Genomic DNA, 20,653 nt, shown 5'->3' on the forward strand with positions numbered 1-20,653 from the left:
CTTACAGCATAAGTTATTGTCAAGGTTTAAGAGGAGTCATCCGAAGGTTTAGAATTGAAGCGGCGTTCCTGTCTAGGATAAATACCTGAGTTTCATCATCTCACACCAGGAAAATAGAGGATGCAGACACACAAGAAGTGAGTTTAAGAGCAGAAGCTCAATAGGCAAAAGAATGAAAACGGAGAATAGCTTCCTCTCCTGCAGAGTGAGACATATGGCGGGGATGTGAAGCGGGGGATCTTCTGGTTCTGTGGCGAAATGCCTGGGGTTTTATAGATGAGCTTGAAGAGGCAGTATCTGATTTACATAGGACCCAAAGATTGGTTGGACCAGGTGTACCATTTACATAGTGTGCAAAGCTGGTCACCCCACCCTAATCTTTTATTATGCAGATGGGGTCTCTACCTGGCCGGCGCCATGTTGTCTGTTCCTTACTGTACACGTGGTTGTCAAGAAAAAGGAAAGATGGAGCCACCATGTTGAACATGCCTAGTCCCCAGGTAGCCTTTTCCTATTGACACAGCTGCTGACATTCACCCCTGCAAGGCTTATCTATGTCTGCAGCTCAGTTTCGCAGGCTGCTTTTTGTTAGAAAAGAAATGATTTGGGGGCTGCTTTTTATTAAAAGGAAAACCTTACCAACGACTCTCTTACCCTCACTATCTGCCTAAATAATTTCTTTTTAACTCCCTCCAATATTTTAGACTAATACCATCATTTGCTCCTTCTTTCTTATATTTAGTTATGCAATGCTTATTAAGGCATTGTGCTTACACTGGGGAACCAGTAGTCTCAGGCTTTCAAACAACTTTCGGTCTAACGAGGAGACATACAGGTCAACTAGGACCTAAAATACAGAGAATTAAGTGTTACTACAAAGCTAACACAGGTGTATTGGTAACACATAGAAAAGGCTCTCAACTTAGTCTTAAGGGAATATAGAAAGCTTCCTTCTGTGGTCTTCCAGAAGTATGGGATATGAGAGAAGTGAATAGAAGTTGAATGTAGGGTGGGATGATGGAGCCCTCACAGTTGAAAGCACTTGTTAGAAAAGGGTATGAGCCAAAAAGAATGTAGAACCCTGAGTGAAAAACAGCGTACCCAGCGTGGAAAGCCCCTCAGTGTCTGAAGAGGCCAGAGGAGCCACTCCACCAGTTCATAACTCACCACCCAAGGCCCAGTTGACTGACCAAGGAAAACAAGCGAGCAGGAAATAGATGATAGGCCTTGGCCTACACAGAGTAGTTAGAGGAGAAGTGAAATTTGTTGAAGAGCTGAAAAACTACAAGTGACTAGAAAAACAGCACATAGACTACCAGTAAGTTTAAATTGTGGTTCGACACAGAGTAAGGTAAAGTAGCAGAAAACAATTCCAGGTAATCTGAGAGTAAATTTTTTTCTCAAGGTCTCCCATGTGTTAAAGAGGTCAAATTTTATTAGAGGCACAGATATTTTATGTTGATTAATTATAAATGAATTGAGAACAAAAAAAATGTTATTTTTTTCAGCCATATCCTGTAATATTTTAAATCATTGACCCAACAATAAATAATACCATTGTTCTTCAGCTTTTTCTGACTGCCAAGAAACTCAGATTCGGGCAATTCATTAGGAAAGAAAAGAAAGGAAAAGAAAAGGAAAGGAAAGGAAAAGAAATATACACATATATATATTTTTTGAAGTTCCTATTAAGTCTTTTGTTTATATACTTGGTTTGCCAGAGCTGTACCTCTTTCTTTATAGAGCCTGGGGCCAGCAAGGAAGGTGCCAACTTTCCAACATTAAGGGAGGAGAACTGTAATTCCTGGGTGACAATCCAACTGATTAGTTCAAGAAGATTACTGGAATTCTAAGAACTGAAGAAATGTAGGTTTTCTGACCATAAAATTATTTTCAACACCAGCCTAATACACTCTGTAAAGGGCATTCCTCCATGGCTAGACAAACTGACCAAGCAAGGGAAGGATGTAGTATGGGGCGCTTTCATCTATGTTAACATAGAGTGAGTGTATCACATGCACTTGGCTTGCTCACAAACTGAAACATATATATATATATATATATATATATATATATGTATGTATATATGTATGTGTATATATAGGTATATACACAAATCTCTGTAGTGTTCACATTGTAAAAAGACATCCAAAAAGGGGGTTTATCATGGCAAATTCAAAATCATGAATATATGACACACTGTGTAACAAGCTCAAGAACTTTAAGTGTAAAAATATCACCCTGATGCCATTTGTTCCAAAGACAACTTGGAGAAAGTTTGCTTTAGCAGACAGGACAACCACAAGGCGCACACTGGAGAGTTAGGAGAAGAGTATCCCCTCTACATTGCTGAGCCCACAGCCTGACAGATGGGAAGAGCAATGAAGCACTCTGAAAAGCACAAGGTGATTTTGGTGGATTAGGCTTATATTCCCAAAGTGCAAATAAATATAAGAGTTTTCCATTTTCTCAGAAGAGTCTGCTATATGCAGGACTAAACAAGTGAGATGCTCTATATAGGCTGACCTGAAGACCTTCCTTTCCAATAACACCTCCTTCAACTTTCTTCCACAGAGCCCGGGCTCCCTTCCCAGGTCACCCCTTTGTATTAACACATTTCCCCATGAAGTTCCTTCTTTAACATGCTGACATGTCTTGTGAAAATTATTTTTTTTCTATAAGAATAAAGGTATATAGGATACGTGATTTATGGTCCATTTTTAAAATAACGTTCTCTTGAGAGTTAGAAGTTCATTCAAAGCATTATCAGCAAGATTTTCTTATAAATTTTGGACGAGTATCCAATAGTACTTGATGGATTCATTTTGCATTCCTTGGCCAGAAGCTCTCCAGTGGAGCACCTGTGCTGGGACTCTTTTTGGTGCTGTCCAATTCAGCAGTGAGGCCAGATGAAGTAGAAGTAAGGTCTGCAGGCTGGAGTTTCATCCAGAGAAATCTTCTTGGCTGTGAATCAGTACAGGAGCATAAGGTGGGGACAGTGAGGGATAGTAGTAGGAATGGCAACAGAAACAAAAAGAGGAGAAAGGGTAGCTTCTAGGAATTGCTTAAAGAGCACAAGAAGAATGTGGAAGTTAATAAAAGGAAACTATTGGTGGTGACAGAAGCCAATGATGTTGGAGGCTCTTGTTAATGGAAAGCTACCTTGAGAATTGAGTATAAGCCCTAAGCTTTGCATTTTTTAAAAATGGAAAGCAGCCATTTCATATTTCAAGAGTGTTCTCCCTTAAGAAAATGAATGGTATACAAGCTATTTCTATTGTGGTCTGTGAGCCACAGCTTCCTAACTGTGTAAAAGCAACACTTGGCTGAACAGTGACTACAAGAAGAAAAAAAACTACCACTTTTACAGCACAATGAAAAGAACGAAAAAAAAGGAAAATTTCCTTTGCCATGGAATTTCCTGCTGGATAGAATTATTCACCCATCCTTTTCTTCTAGCTGTCATGACTAGTTAGGGTGTAGAACAGGTACCACCTCTCTTTGGTATAATGCCACACTGAATTAATCCAACTTGGAGTCATGGATCATGGGAGCCTAGAACCTTTAAGCCTGATCAGTCTGCAAACATCCAAAACAAGTAGTTTTTCTTCTCTTATTTCTGGTAATATACAGAGTATTTTAAGGCATTATGCCCACATTTCTCTGATATGCTTGACTTTTGAAGAGAAAGCAAAAGGAGTTCCCTCCTCAAATATAATCTTAAAGCTGCTAATTCATTAGCCATCCAGAGGTTGGTAAAAGGAATGTCCACTTATTGTTTTTAAACCTGTAGACTGTAGACCATACTGAAAGCAATGGCCAGCAGAAGTAACAAATGTCATGAAAATAATTAGTGAATCGTTAAGTGAAAGTAGCAATTTTATGCAATTACTTTAAGTAGCTTAAAAATCTTTATTTTCCTAGCATCACATAGAGAGTTTTTCTAATTTTATATCCAAACACTCGTATACACTATCTAAAGAAAATAAATGTTTAAAAACCCCCAGTAACAGAACCCAACCAGATATTGCTTAAATCTTAACATTTTGACTAGGAGAATATGTTTAAATCCCGAAGAATGGAAAATAGCATGCCTCAGTCTGAGGAATGCTGGTGTTCTTTCCACGGCAGGCTCACTTGGGTCAAGTGAGTGTAATTACTTCTATGGAGCCAGTCTTTGTTTAAAGGCTTGATACTTCTCCATTGCCTCTTGGAATTGCTGAAAGCTACAATGATTCACTTGGGTACAATTATAAGCATTGCTTTTCAGAAAGTCTTATATAAATACTACTTGGAAGAAAGAAGGAGAAGGAAGCTGAAAGGATAAATCAGTAATCAGAAAAACTTTCTGATTTTTTTTTTCCATCATTTGTAATTACTTGATTATGGAATTATAGGTAAAAAGTCATGTCCTTCTGTCACCATTGTCCACAGCAAAAACCACACAAAAAATATAATGATCCTAGAGAAACACTTGCACATGCAAACACACACACACACACACATACATACATACATACAACCATGTTTTTGCAAGAAAAAGGGAAGTGAGACACACATGATCATTCCCTTGGCTGGATCTGATCCCCCTGTAGGAACATAGATATTTTGCCATGTGCAGATTTTGGGGAAGGATGTTGGAGGGACTCCCTTTTCTCCCAACAGCAAGGTGACATCCTGATTTGTGTTATTTCCATGTACCCTGGTGATAATCATTCTGACTTATGAAAGACTACTCTTGGAAGACTATCAGGGCCACACAAGTCAGGTTCTGGGGCCAGCAGTCAATTGTTGGTTGGGAAAGAGCCAGGTTTTGAGAAAAAGAGAAATTCGGTCTGGATTTTCCTACTTTTCTCTGCCGCCAGAATCTATTGTTGGAGGAAAAATCATGCAGATACTTCAGCCTACTCTCTGTAGTTCTTAAAACAAATCTCCACCCGTTTCTCCTTTATTCAATATGCTGTGTGGCAAGGCAAAATTCCACTGGTGCCATTTAAACATAAAAGCAAAGCCACAAAAATTTGCTGCCTCAATTTGAATTCTGGAACATAAAAGAGATTCTCAAGTTGCCTTCAGATCTGTGCTGTATGTGAACTTTGTGCTATTCGATTGCTGGTTATGGCCAAGCCCTGGAACTCTCTTCCACAGCTGAGATGTTTCCTGCTGTCCCCACCTCCTTTTCTCTAGTCAGTGTTCCTGGTTAGGTGCAATTAGAAGCTCAGCTGAGCTAGAAGTATTTCACTGGACTCTCTAAGAGTGAACTGGAGGGATCCCCTAGAGAAGTGGTTCTCGAACTTTAGTGTTCATTAGAACCACCTGGAAGGCTTATTAAAACACACATTCTTGTGTGCTTCACTACTAGAGATTCTTGTTGACTGGAGGCAGGCGGGGGGAGGTGGGGAGCTGGGAGGTGGGGAGCATTTTTAAAAAGTTCCCAGGTGCTTATGCTGCTCAGAAGGCAACACTTTGAGCAGCATCTGTCTAGTGTTATTCATAAACACAAATCTAGGCAATAGGAGAACACACTGGTTCATGTATCCATTCATCTAACATTAGTGACATGTCCCAAGCCCTCTGCCAGGCTCTGTGATGCACACCTGAATAAAGCCCAGAGCAGTAGGGAGGGTGCACAAGCTTAATAATGTGTTATGGGAAGTATACATAGAAATATGCACAGGGAAGAGTGGGGTGCAAAAGAGGGGAGGCTCAAATCTCTCTGGATGTGTGAGTGGGGTCAGGAGCTAGCATGAAAAGTTTGAAGAGAAGATCGATGCTGGACTACATCTTAAAGGGAAGTCCAGTGCCACAGCAGGGCAGCACCATAAAGAGTGGCCTGAGATTGTAGTAGAGAATACTGCATGGAGATCTGTAGTGGCATATAGCCTCAGAAATAGGAAGAGAGGAATGGAAACCAGATATAAGACTTGAATAGTCTTCGATAGTCAAGGCTTGGTTAAAACATGAATCCTAAAAGAAGCAATAGAATAGAAGATAGAAATAATACAATAGTGCTAGTAGGCTTAAGAACAGATTGAATAAGGGGAGTGAAGGAAGGGAGATGATCAATGATGAAGATCAGGATTAGTGGCGAAAGAAAATGAGTTTGTTTCTGAACACATCAAATTAAGGTGCCTATGGAGCATGAAGTTAGACCTCTCTATTGCCTAATTCCATCTTTCTAGATGGACATGCAAGCTCTGGAGCCCAGGAGAGAGATTTGGGCTGGGATTACTCAACTTTGACCTATGAGCAGTTGAATTCTCAGAAGTGAATGAAGCTGCCCATTTGTTTATCCATTCATTAAATGTTTACTGAGCACTTAGTACATGTCAGGCACATGTGAGAAGTATATTAGTATTCTGTGATGACAAATTATGACAAATTTAGTGGCTTAAAACAACACAGATTGAGCATCTGCCCATTGTCTAAGTCAGAAATACAGGTTGGCTGGGCTGGTTTATCTCCTGTAGAGTTAACAAGGCTGACATCAAAGTGTTGCCAAGGCTGCATTCCTTTCTGGAGTCTCTAGGATGTGTCTGTTTCCAAGCTCATTTAGGTTTTGGCAGAATTCAGTTCCTTGAGGTTGTAGGACTGAAGGTCCTTGGCTGTCAGCCAAGCTGTAGTTTCCACCTACAGGCTGCCTGCAGTCTTTCTCACTCCTTCCTGAAGATTCCCTTCAGCAAACCTGAGTCTTCAGAAAGGAAGATTCCCTGTGGGCTGGGTCACTCTCACGCTTCAAGTCTCTCTGACTTCCTTTCTGCTATACCTCTCTGCCGCTTCCTCCTCTGAGACACCACTCAGTGAATTTTCTCTGCTTTTAAAAAGTCATGTGATTAAATTCAGCCCACTTATGTAATTCAGGATAACCTCTCCATCTTAGGCCCATAATTTTAATCAAATCTTCAGAGGCTCTTTTGCTACATAAAGTAACATACTCAAAGATCCACCAATTAAGGCACAGGCATCTTTGAAGGTCATTCTTACCATCACAATGAACTGGAAATTCTGCATTTAACAAAACAGACACAATCCTTGTCTTCATTTTTATTTTATTTTATTTTATTTTATTTTGTTTCTATTTTGCTAACTTTCATTTTACATTCAGAGGCTACATGTATTGGTTTGTTACATGGATAAATTGCATATTGCTGAGGTTTGGTGTATGAATGATCCCTCACCCAGGTACCCAATAGGTAGTTTTTCAACCCTTGCCCTTCTCCCAGCCTCCCCCTCTAGTAGTCCTGAGGGCCCAGTGTTTACTGTTCCCATAAAATTTATGGAGTAGGAAGATGTTTAGATAGATATGAAATGACAACCTAAAGAATTATATAATTATTAAATATGTTGAAATCTCTAAAGATTGCACCAGACTGTAAAAGGTACAGTGAAAAAAAATGGCAGCTTAACTGTTTTGTAGAGAGAAGGAATTCTTCCCCAAGAACATGAAAAGTGATTTGAGCTCTGAATGATGGATCAGCACTACATCCATGAAGAGGACTGAGAGAAGAGCATTTCAGAAGGAAGAAACAGCATGTACGAATGCCTTAAGGCAAACGTGGTACAAATAACTGAAAGAAGGCAAGACAGCTGGAGCAGAGGGAATAAGGGATGTGGGACAGGAGAGAGGGGTTGGGCATGCAGGACAACATGGGGACACAGAAAGGCTTTCAGCAAGGAAATGCCATGTTCAGACTTTAATTTTTAGATGACTATTTAGAGTGCAGTATGAATAAGGTATTGTAGGTGCCAAAAGAGCTACAGTGTTAGGGATGTAGTTCTGTGTTCCCAGAATGAAATGATAAGAGCTTTAGGCTAAGCATATAGTGAAAAGGGAGGAAAGTGAATAAATTTAAGAGCTGTTTAAGTGGTCTATTTTGTCAAGATTCCTTGGTTACATGTAATTCGAACTTTCAAATGAGTGAAATGTGAGGTGAGAACAGTATTACTAGCTCACAATTTCCAACCACAGAAAGACCAGGGATGGCAGTGACAAGTCACGGACACAAGGGCCCAGGGCCCTCTCACCGTCTCTCTGTGCAGTGGGTTCCTTGCCTCTGAATGCAGTAGACCAGTCCAGTGTGACGACTGGGGCAGGGGTGGAGAGCATGTCCTGCCAGCAATCCCGGCATCCCATCTTTACGCCAGAGGAGAAAGAATCTTTTAAATTTTAACTCCATCTAGCGATAAGCAAGTGATCAAGTCTGGCTAATTCCCTGATTAGTCTAATTAGTCAAGTTTGACTAATTCCCTGGATCATTTGTTTATTCCTAGAAAAACATTAGGTTAGAGGTAAGGTCCTAATCTGGGAGATCTAGATATTTTTTAAGGATATTTTTCAGAAAAAAAAAATGTTCTGAGAAAACAGAACAGTAAGTGCTCAGTACAAAAAGCAAAGGCATAGGTAAGATAGATATGGTACATTATAGACAGGGTGCAGTCCAAAGTACTTTTTATAGCTTGATCATCTAAATCAGTGATTACCGAATTATGCTTGTTTTCTGTTTCCATCAATAAAGTTTTATTGGGACACAACCATGTCCATTTGTTTATGTACTGTCTATGACTGCTTTCACACTGTGACAGAATAGATGAGGGCTGGGCACGGTGGCTCTCGCCTGTAATCCCAGCACTTTGGGAGGCCAAGGTGGGTGGATCACGAGGTCAGGAGATCGAGACCATCCTGGCTAACACGGTGAAACCCATCTCTACTAAAAATACAAAAAAATTAGCCGGGCGCAGTGGCGGGTGCCTGTAGTCCCAGCTACTCGGGAGGCTGAGGCAGGAGAATGGCGTGAACCTGGGAGGCGGAGCTTGCAGTGAGCCTAGATCGCGCGCCACTGCATTCCAGCCTGGGTGACAGAGCAAGACTCCGTCTCAAAAAAAAAAAAAAAATACAAAAAATTAGCCGGGAGTGAGGTCACACACCTGTACTCCCAGCAACTCGGGAGGCTGAGGCATGAGAACCACTTGACCCAGGAGGCAGAGGTTGCAGTGAGCCGAGATCATGCCACTGCACTCCAGCCTGAGTGACAGAAGAGGTGAGCAGTCTCAACCAAGATCGTATATTCCACGAAGCCTGAAATTTTTATCTCCCCTTTTACAGAAAAATTTGCCAGTTCCTGATCTAGATGAATAGTTGTGTCTTTCAAGAGAAGGATCAAGTTTGAACAGAAAAGCATACATTTGGTTTTGGACATGTTGAGTTCAAGTGCTTTTGAGACATCAGGTTGAAACAGTGAATACATGGTTGGATATTTGAAGGTGAATTTATTTAAAAAAGAAACAGCTTTATGAGAACTTTAACAATTTCTCATGCTCCTCAGAAACAACTGATTGTTCTGTAGCAACAGTTAGAGTTACCATCACAACCAGTTTTAAACCCACTTAGTCAATTCATGATAACTTTCTCAGAGCAAGTTTTTGAAAGCTAACCAATGAGTAATAGTGTTCCTCTTTGGAAGGACAACCAGTTGGCAAGAGCATGACTCCAGTGAACATACTGGAAAGGCAACCAATCCACAAGGGTCTTCTCCCAAGAAATCATGCTTCTATAGCTGACATCAACCCATTCTCTGAACTATTTATTTTCTAAAATTTCCACGTACAATCAATAGTCTGCTTTGTTTAGAAAGACTGCCTAAAAATCATAACTCTCCCTTGCTTCAGTAATAAATTTAACTTTGTATTTCAGTTAGTAAGTGGTGGTTTCTTCCTTAACCTTAGCCTGAGATATTTTTTTTAAGTACCTTAAGTGGGCCGGGCGTGGTGGCTCACACCTGTAATCCCAGTGCTTTGGGAGTCCGAGGCAGGCGGATCACCTGAGCTCAGGAGTTCACGACCAGCCTGGCTAACACGGTGAAACCCCGTTTCTACTGAAAATACAAAACATTAGCTGGGCGTGGTGGCATGCACCTGTAATCCCAGCTACTCGGAAAGCTGAGGCTGGAGAATCGCTTGAACCTGGGGGGGCGGAGGTTGCAGTGAGCCAAGATGGCACCATTGTACACTAGCTTGGGCAACAAGAGCAAAACTCCATCAAAAAAAAAAAAATGTACCTTAAGTGCGTAGGCAGTTGCGGCCGTGGGAGAAGTGAGTTCTAAGGGAAAGCATACTGAGAAGTCAAGAGGGGCTAGAGTGTAGTCATACGAATGCTCACATTTAATGACTATGTAAAGAAGGATAAGACTACAAAGGAAAGAGTGAAGGAGGAGCCACAGAGATAAAAAGAAAATGAAGTACATATGTTGGCATAGAAACTGAGGCCAGAAACTGTTTTAAGAATTAAGGAACAGTCAACAAAGTAAAATGTCACTGAGGCCCTAGTTGGGATAGGAAATGAAATATGTCTACTGCATTTGGTGAACAAGCAGAAATTTGTGACTTTTGTGAGATTTGTTTGTGTGCACCAATGAGAATGAAATTAAGATCAGAAGTTGAGATGTGAGTGGAGACGAGAAAATGGGAACAAAATGTATAAACAGTTCTTTTGCAGATAGAGAAACAGATGGCTTAGTGTCAATTTGATTTTTCTAAGATTAAAAAAAAAGATGGAAGAGGTTCAGTAAAAAAGAGATTGAAAATATAAGAGAGAAAAGATATAATCAACAGTATGGTGCATACGTAGGCAGTGACTGGAAGAGAACAGAGTGGGCAGTGAAGGAGTTTGGTTCAAATAAAAGCATATGTGCCTATAAAGCAAAACATAACAAAAACATGGAGCAAGAGTGGGTGGAAATGTAGAATGGGCTATACATTGGGTAGCATAACATTGGAGGAGGACAAATTTCCTTCTTTCTTTCATCTCTTTGGAGGAAGAAAGCAAAATTATCTCCTGAGGGTGAAAAACCAAATAAATGAGGTAGGTTGAAGTCTGAGAAAAATTAGGACATTTAGAGAGAGAAGAGACAGAGACTCAAAAATATAACATTGAGAAAAGAGGTGGGGAACAGAAGAAGAACAAGAAAGCTAGCTGAAAATGATTAAAGAAAAAGGAAAGAGAAAAACTAGGAGAGTGGTATAACAAAAGCCAAGGGATGTTGTACAAAAAAACATTAGATGCTAGTTGCAGAGGACAAGGAAGATAAAAACAGAAAATAGTCTTATTTGACTTAAGACATAGGAAATTGTTGGATTTTCCATAGAGTAAAACCATACATCTACTTACAGTATGTTAAAAGGTGAATTAGAAGATTTCAAATTAAACAACGTCATTTGAACATATTTGTTTCTGTCCCTTTAATAATTAATTTATTAAAATTATAGTAAATAACTTAATATCTACATTATACTTAATATAATGAGAGTGAAGAAGTTAAAAATAATCTACTTATCTACTATAAGAGCAAATAACAGAAAAGACACAACAAGAGATAACAGTTGCTGAGACATTTTAGGAAGATGGAAAGCAATGAAGGAGTAAGCAGAGATGAGCACAGTAAATAGCAACTGCCTGCAAGTGCCCAAGAGAAAAAGCCATTTCAATAGAGAACCATAAAAATATTCAGAATTTAGAATCAACAAGTCAAGATCTGGGCAAAAAGCCCATATATGGAACAGGTAGATGATGCAAAATTCACTATACTAAGTGATGAAGTCTCCAAACCCTTTTGACCACTTGATTCCTAGAATAATAGGGCCTAGACATTTATACAGGTTGAAGAATGAGAGATTTTCTTTCAATAAAATGTCAGATACTGACATCTCAAATTGCTCTTCACTCCAAAGGGGCAGGTCCCTTCCCAATCAATCACCAGTAAACACATGTCTGGCCATGCCACAGAGTTGAGCTGACTGGTGACTCATTTCTTTCTTTCTTTTTTTTTTTTTTTTTTCTTTGAGATGGAGTCTCACTCAGTCACCAGGCTGGAGTGCAGTGGCGTGAACTCGGCTCACTGCAACCTCCGCCTCCCAGGTTCAAATGCTTCTCCTGCCTCAGCCTCCCGAGTAGCTGGGATTATAGGCACCTGCCACCACGCCCGGCTAATTTTTGTATTTTTTAGTAAAGATGGGGTTTCACCATATTGGCCAGGATGGTCTTGATCTCTTGACCTCATGATCCGCCCGCCTAGTCCTCCCAAAGTGCTGGGATTACAGGCACGAGCCACTGTGTCCAGCCTGGTGACCCATTTCTAAATGTAAGTGAATAACACAAGACCACCAGTCATTTAAGGAACACTAACACAGCAGAAAGAGGCCAAAACAAAGAGAAAAAGAACACACAAAAACTAGAAGCAGAAATCCTTCTCATTACCACAAACAACATCACTAGAATTAATATTCCCAGAGAGTTAAAAAAATGAAATTGATAGATATAGATATGCATTATGCCCAGAAAGAACAACAGAATTAGGAAGGGAGTGCTGATGAAGCACAGTTTTGGAGCTGAGTAGCTGAACAAATAGAAGTATTGGAGAACAGAGTCTCAAGAATGTCAAGGTGGGAATTAAGAGAATCTTATTTTACATGATTAAGCATGTATTGCTATTTGACTTTTAAATGTTTGTGCATACATTAACTTTTTATGAATGGGAAATAATAAGTGTATTAGACATGAGATATGTGAACAAAGGTTATAAATAATCTTTCCAAGATCTTTGTTCTACTCTCAAAACCACATGATTATATAGAAACTTACTCCTGAATGACTTTTCAGTAAGCAAAACAACTAAGGCAAAAATAAAAAAAAAATTATTTGAAACAAATGAAACTAAAGACAGAATGTACTTTAGTACATTCTGAATGGGAACCTCTAGAATGGGGAAAAAGCAGTGTTAAGAGGAACGTTTATAGTGCTAAATGCCTACTTCAAAACGTTAGAAAGATCTTAAATAAACTAATGCTGCATCTAAAGAAACTAGAATTAAAGAGCGAATGAATCCCAAAGCTAACAAAGAAAATAAATAACTAAAATCAGAGCAGAACTAAATGAAATTGTGACCCAAAAACATATAAAGGGTCAATAAGGTGAAAACTTTGTTTTTTTAAAGGATAAATGGGAATAATAGACCAGACCACTCACTAGATTAACAAAGAAAAAAAGAGAGATGATCCAGATAAGTATAATCAGAAGAAACAAAGGTGACATTACAACCAATCTTACAAAATATAAAATATCCTCAGAGACTACTATGAACATCTCTATGCACACATGCTATGAAATCTAGAAAAAACTGATAAATTCCTAGAAACACACAACCTCCCAATATTGAACCAGGAAGAAATAGAAACCCTGAAAACACCATTAATGAGTTACCAAATTGAATTAGTAATAAAAAACCTACCAACCATAAAAAGCCCTAAACCAGCTAGGTTCACATCCAAGTTCTATCAAATGTAAAAAGAAGAGCTGGTACCAATTCTACTAAAAATATTCCAAAAACTTGAGGAGGAAGGATTCCTCCCTAACTAATTCCACAAAACCAATATCATCTTGATACCATAATCTGGCAAAGACACAACTAAAAAGAAAGCTACAGGCCAATATCCCTGAAGAACATAGACACAAAAATCTTCAACAAAATATTAGCAAATCAAATTCAGCCACACATCAAAAAGATAATCCACTGTGATCAAGTAAGCTTTATTCCGGAATGCAAGGATGGTTCAACATATGCAAATCAATAAATGTGATTCACCTCATAAATAGAATTAAAAACAAAAATTGTATGATCATCTCAGTAGATGCAGAAAAATGATTCAATAAAATCCAACATCTCTTCATGTTAAAAACCCTCAACAAAGTATGAATCAAAGGGAACTCTTAAAATATTAAGAGTCATCTATGGCAAACCCACAGGCAATATCATACTGAATAGGCAAAATGTGAAGCATTCCTCTTAAGAACTGGAATAAGACAAGGATATCCACTCTCATCACTCCTATTCAGCATAGTACTGGAAGTCCTAGCCAGAGCAATCAGGCAAGAGAAAGAAATAAAAGGCATCCAAATAAGAAAAAGAGGAAATCAAATCATCTCACTTTGCTGAAGGTATGATTCTATATCTAGAAAACCCTAAAGATTCTGCCAAAAGACCCTTAGACTTGATAAACAACTTCAGTAAAGTTTCAGGATACAAGATCAACATACAAAACCATACACCAATAACATTCAAGCTGATAACCAAATCGATAATACAATAAAATTTACAATAGCTACAAAAAATAAAATACATAGAAATACATTTAACCGAGGAGATGAAAGACCTCTATAAGAGAACTACAAAACACTGCTGAAAGAAATCATAGATCACACAAACAAGTGGAAAAATATTTCCTGCTCATAAATTGGAAGAATAAAAAATTATTAAAATGTCTATACTGTTCAAAAGTGATCTATATTCTCAATGCAATTCTATCAAATTACCAACATCTTTCTTCACAGAATTAGAAAAAAACTATTCTAAAATTTGTATGAAACTGAAAGGAGCCCAAATTGCCAAAACAAACCTAAGCAAAACGAACAAAGCCAGGGACACCACATTACCTGACTTCAAGCTGTACTATAAGGCTACAGTAACCAAAACAGCATAGTACTTGTACAAAAATAAACAAAAAGACGAATGAAACAGAAAAGAGAACCCAGAAATAAAGCCACATATTTACAACCAACTGACTTTTGACAAAGTCAACAAAAGTAAACAATGGGAAAGGATACCCTATTCAAAAAATGGTGCTGCTGAACCTGGCTAACCATATGCAGAAGAATGAAACTCTATCCCTACCTCTTGTCATATACAAATATTAACTCAAGATAGATTAAAGACTTAAATCTAAGACCTGAAACAATCAAACTTCTAGGAGAAAAACTAGAAAACATTCTTCTGGACATTGGCCTAGGCAAATAATTTAAGTCTTTAAAAGCAAATGCAACAAAAGCAAAAATTGGCAATTGAGACCTAATTAAACTAAAAAGCTTCTGCACATCAAAATAAACTATCAACATAGTAGACAGACAACCTACAGAATGGGAGAAAACATTTCCAGACTATGAATCTGACAAAGGACTAATATCCAGAATCTGCAAGAAACTTAAACAAATCAACAAGAAAAAAAATCCATTAAAAAGTGGGCAAAGGACATGAACAGACACTTCTTAAAAAGAAGACATATAAGCAGCCAACAAACACAAAAAAATGCTTATCATCATGAATCATCAGAAAAAATGCAAATCAAAATCACAATGAGATATCATCTCACAACAGTCAGAATGGTTATTACTAAAAAGTCAAAAAATAACAGATATTAACAAGGTAGCAAAGAAAAGTAATGCTTATACACTATTGGTAGGTATGTAAATTAGTTGAGCCACTGTAGAAAGCAGTTGGATATTTCTCAAAGAACTAAAAATAGATTTATCATTCAACTCAGCAATCCTATTACTGGATACATACCCAAAGGAAAATAAATCATTCTACCTAAAAAACACCTGCAGTCATATATTTATCACAGCACTATTCACAATAGCAAAGACGTGGGAACCAACCTAGTGTCTTGTCAGTGGTGGACTGGATAAATAAAAGGTGGTGCATATACATGATGGAATACTATGCAGCCATAAGAAGAATGAAATCAATCCTATACTTTACAGCAACATGGATGCAGCTTGTGGCCATTATCCTAAGTAAATTTATGAAAAAACAGAAAACCAAATACTGCATGTTCTCACTTATAAGTGAAAGCTAAACATTAGTACATGCAGACATAAAGATAGAAACAATAGACACTGGGGACTCCAAAAATAGGGGAGGAAGGGAATGGGGCAAGGGTTGAAGAACTATTTATTGAGTGCTATATTACCTATTTGGGCAATGGGATCAATAGAAGCCCAAATTTCAGCACCACGCAATATACCCAGATAACAAATCTGCTCATGTACCGCTGAATCTAAATTTTTTTTTTAGAAAAGTTGAACATATACTAACTATATAGCCCAGAAACTTCACTCCTCAGTAGCTTCCCAAGAGAAACAATGACTCATCCTCATTCAAAGACTAAAATGTAGAGACATTAATCAAAGACTAAAAGGTGAAGACACCAATGTTTGTAGCAATTTTATTCATTAGTTAAAAATGAGGGAAGTCCATCAACTGGGGATTGGATAAACATCTTGTGGCAAACCCTTCAATGGAATACTATACAGCAATTTAAAGGAAAAGACTACTGATGCATGCATAACATAAATGAATCTCAAAGCTCTTATGCCAAGTGGAAACATTTAGGCACAAAAGTCACGTGTGATTAATGCCCAGAACTGGCAAAATTATTGAGACCTAAAACAGATCAGTGGTGGCCTAGGGCTGGGAATGGGCAATAAGACTGACTGCTAAGGAGCAGGAAGAATGTTTTGGGGTGAGGGAAGGAACTGAAAACCAGATTGCAGGGATGGTGGCTGTGTGACTAAAACTCATGGGACTATACACTTAAAATGAAAAAAAAAAATATGCTATGTAAATTATCACTCAAAATAGATGCTTTACAAAGTTAAAAAAAAGACCTTTGTTCTAAAGGAAAAAAGAGAATATGATTCTGGTAATAACAAAGATACAGGATGGTGGAAGGTTTTCTATTTTACTATTTTTAATAGGATATATTCGAGTGTACTTATAGGTTAGGAAGAAGAAGAAGGAGAAAGAGAATCAAAACGCAGACAACAGAGCAAATAATGGAGAAAATGTGGGGTGGGAACAGGACCCACAAGGCAAATTTTAGAGGTGGAGCTTCAGCACAAGATGCTCCCTCCTCTGCACTGAAAGGGATAACATTGATGAAGTTTTTGTTGTCTTTTCAGTAAAAAAGAAGCAAGGCTACCTACTGCAAGTGACATCAGTGATGAGCAGGTGGATAGGTGAGAATGACATTTGAAATATCCTTGTGGGTTACTGAGAAAGCAAGCAAGCTAGTTGTGTAAAATAACTTTCAAACCAAAATGAAGACTCATTGGAGATTGGAAACCACAATCTGTAGCAACAATGGTCTACAGAGTTAAATGATTTTCTCCAGGGGCATTTATCAGCTACATTTTTTGTAAGGGTATAATGAATGGCTAGATTGATGCTAATTTGCAAGGCCATGAGGATGTTGAAGCAACCAAAAACAGAACATAAACACTGCACTCTAGAGAGGTGGGCTATCAAAGGAAGGAAAGAGTTCACTGAAGAAAAAGAGAAGGGTTGAGGAATTGAATTCTCAGGGTATCCAGAAAACCTATGTATAGGGAGCAAGGGAAAAAAAGAAAAAAAACATGCAGGGATAATTATGGTCAGAAATTGAAAATTGAAATTTAGGATTTCCCAACAAGTGCCCAGGTCTGGAGTATGATCCTGAGAGAGAGTGGCTCAAGGGGTTGAATGGAGATTGTTGGAGTATAATAAGTCAGGAAGCTTTCCACATGGATAACAAAGACAACCAGGATGATTGTTCAGCCTAAAAGGAGTGAAAAGAAAGACAGTAAGTCAGGTACCAATGCTTGAGCAACAATGGAGTACAACAGCTACATGGAGGACCTCAAGGAAGAAATGCTTCCTAAAGGTAGAAGCAAAAGGATCTATAGGTAATAAAAGGCATCAAGACCTTTGTAAACATTTCTCAACCTCCCCTTGTCTCTTGACTCTGCTAGTTATGGTTACCTGGCCAGATCAGCAAAAGAATCAGGTGTCACTAAAAAGCAAGTTGAACAAGATTAAGAATTGCTGCTAAACGAAATTATCATGAGAAATACACTGGAGACGGTGCAATAAAAGAATTCAAGTCAGCCACAAAAGTGTACCTGCCCAAATGCCTAGGGCCAAGACAAAAATCAGGATGGGCACAACAGAAAGCAATCAAGATACCAGGGCCAAATCAAAGAGAGTAGCTCCTTTTAATTCCAATTTTTATGTACATGTATACTTAGGGGAGCTCCCTATTGAATTGGCTGTGTACTACAAGCTTAATGGCGTGATAAATAGAAAGATGCAAAGAGGCAAGAATGGATGAGCAGGGGTCGTTCTGGGCAATGTAAAGGGACCAGTTCAAAGCCTGTTCCAGAATGACTTGGCCCACTAACCGTGGTAGAGAAGACCATTTGGAGTGGTCAAAGCACTGGCCATTGACTGCTCTGCTTTGCATTTGCCTGTGAGCACAGCACAGAAGTCTTTGCAATAGATGGCTCATCCTCATTCTCAGAATGTTTCCTGCCTTACTTTCTTCTCTAACAACAAATGTTCAATGCTTTCCAGCCCCTGTTGTGTGTTACATTAGGGCACCATGAAGACGCTTCTTGTTTATTATCTCTCTCCTCTGTCTTCCTGCTCCTTATTCCCCTTTCTTTAAAGGCAGACTCTTTCTTGGCAATTTTTTTATCTCCAAGCTTGGAGCCCCTCCCTATTTCCTCTGCCTCTTTACTCCTCATATGTACTTTTAACAAATCTATAGGGTGCCTTCAAACTAAGATACTTTAAAAAATAATTGCTACATTCCTCTAATCTTCCTGAGCACAAATTCTAGGCATCAGCTGCCTGACTATACACAGAAAGTTATTTTAGGGTGCAAATTTGGGACCATTGTGAAATTCCAGTGGCCATGCACAGGTTTCCTCACAGCTTTCTGATATTTAAGTTTTTTAGGCAGGATTGTCTGAAGCTGTGTAGCTTAAGGGCCTTTGAGTAATAATTATCATCATGGCTTTACCTCTAATGCCCACTGTAAGAGCAAGATCATCTGAATCTTTCTTTCTATAGAATAGAGAGCACAAAAATAAGCAAACTTGAAGAGCTGTGATCATAAAAGCTAACTAAATACTGCCATGAAACAGCTAGGATTTGGATGCAGAAACAGAGTGCCAGAGAAACACTAAACAAAATGACAAACCACAGTTAGGATCTCAGGAATTGAGAAGATGGACCTGTCTGGCAGCTGAAAACATTGATGTCCATCATTAATGCAGAGTCAGGACTTCCCAGAGACGAAATTCTTCTGCAGGAAAAAGGGTGCAACCATCAGCCTCTGCCCTTCCTCCATGTGAGATCTCTTTCTCAGTCTCCAGGGAAGCAATGTCCTTTTGCTTCCTACTAAATACCTGGACCTCTCCATCCCTATATTACCCACTCCAGAGCAATTTGCACAGTGCTCCACACTTTCCCCTAATTCCTTCTCTTCAAATTCTGTCTTGGCCGGGCGCGGTGGCTCACGCCTGTAATCTCAGCACTTTGGGAGGCTGAGGTGGGCGGATCACCTGAGGTCAGGAGTTCGAGACCAGCCTGACCAACATAGTGAAACCCCGTCTCTACTAAAATACAAAAATTAGCCGGGCGCAGTGGCGGGCGCCTGTAATCTCAGCTACTTGGGAGCCTGAGGCAGGAGAATCGCTTGAACCCAGGAGGCGGAGGTTGCAGTGACCCAAGATCGCGCCATTGCACTCCAGCCTGGCAACAGAGCGAGACTGCCTCAAAAAAAAAAAAAAAAAAAAAAAAAAAAAAAACAAATTCTGTCTTACGTGCAAACTTCCAGGATTTAGCTGTCCGCTGGATGACGATAGATAGTGAGTGGATTAATAAAAGCTATACTCCTAGCAAAATGTTTTGTTAGATCTCAGTAGCAATGCCTCAACTGTACAAATGTGCAGACTTTCATAATTGCCCTTAAGTATTCACTAATCCTGGAAATTTCAAGCAAAGTAGCTATCTCTCTGTGTGGAGAAAAGATGTTAAGTTATTTGAGGTTTTCAGCATGCTGAAGTTTACATTATAAAAGGAATTGCTAATTCCACCTACACCCTTGAAGGAGGGCCATCCATTAACAAGAGAAAGCAATACCTTAGGGCAAAGTTTCTGCCTATCTGCAAGGGAATATACCAATTACTAAGACAACTTTATCCCCTACATCCAACTAAGCCGTTTTTGATCTTGATCCAACTCCTTAATATTTTAGGTAATGCAGATAAAGTCAATTTTCGACTATCCATGGGTGGATTATCTGCAAATCTGGATTTTATCTTCTTGTGTTGATCTTGTCATCTGTTTTGTTTATCTAAGCCCTTTAAAAGCACTATTGTTGCTTCTGTTTACTCTTATTTCCTGCATGCAGTAATGATAATTCCCTATATTTGTTTGGCATTTTATGGTTTGTGAAATATTTTCACATGCATTCTCTCATTTTGATGTAGCCTCCGTTAATCCAAAGTAGGAAGGGGAGTCTTTGAAACCATAGCATTTTGTCATCAAATTATTTTCTTGGGAAGGTATATGCTAACATGTTGGAAGTTGATTAAGAAACAAAACAAAACATATCTGAGATCATGTTGGTCGTTTGCACAGGCCTGCGTGGTGCCAGTGATTATACCAACATCAAATGGGGTAAAAGGAGGAGATAACCAGATAGAAGATCACCAACTGACAGTTGCTCATAGCACTGTTCTACTGTAAGGCTCAAATCCTAGAATATCAGCCACATTCAAAGGCAAGGCCAAACTCACATTTAAGAGTGAGTTTATACCTCTATGTTGATGATCAATTGATTTTTAACACAAACAACTAAGCAAGTCAACAGGAACAGCGATTTTTTTTTCTACTATGGTGCTGAGACATCTGCTCTTCACTGATGTCACTTGCAGTAGGTAGCCTTGCTTCTTTTTTACTGAAAAGACAACCAAAACTTCATCAATGTTATCCCTTTCAGT

General features: G+C 38.9%; 1 annotated feature.

Annotated features, from left to right (window-relative positions):
- Positions 19,490 to 20,187: an enhancer, noted in NCBI's record as "OCT4-NANOG-H3K27ac hESC enhancer chr20:11517622-11518319 (GRCh37/hg19 assembly coordinates)". NCBI's record gives its function as "activates a minimal SCP1, AML or CMV promoter by ChIP-STARR-seq in primed H9 embryonic stem cells {active_cell/tissue: H9 hESC(primed)}" and the evidence as "EXISTENCE:reporter gene assay evidence [ECO:0000049][PMID:30033119]".

Source organism: Homo sapiens, chromosome 20, assembly GCF_000001405.40.
Source record: "Homo sapiens chromosome 20, GRCh38.p14 Primary Assembly".
Lineage (NCBI taxonomy): Eukaryota > Metazoa > Chordata > Mammalia > Primates > Hominidae > Homo > Homo sapiens.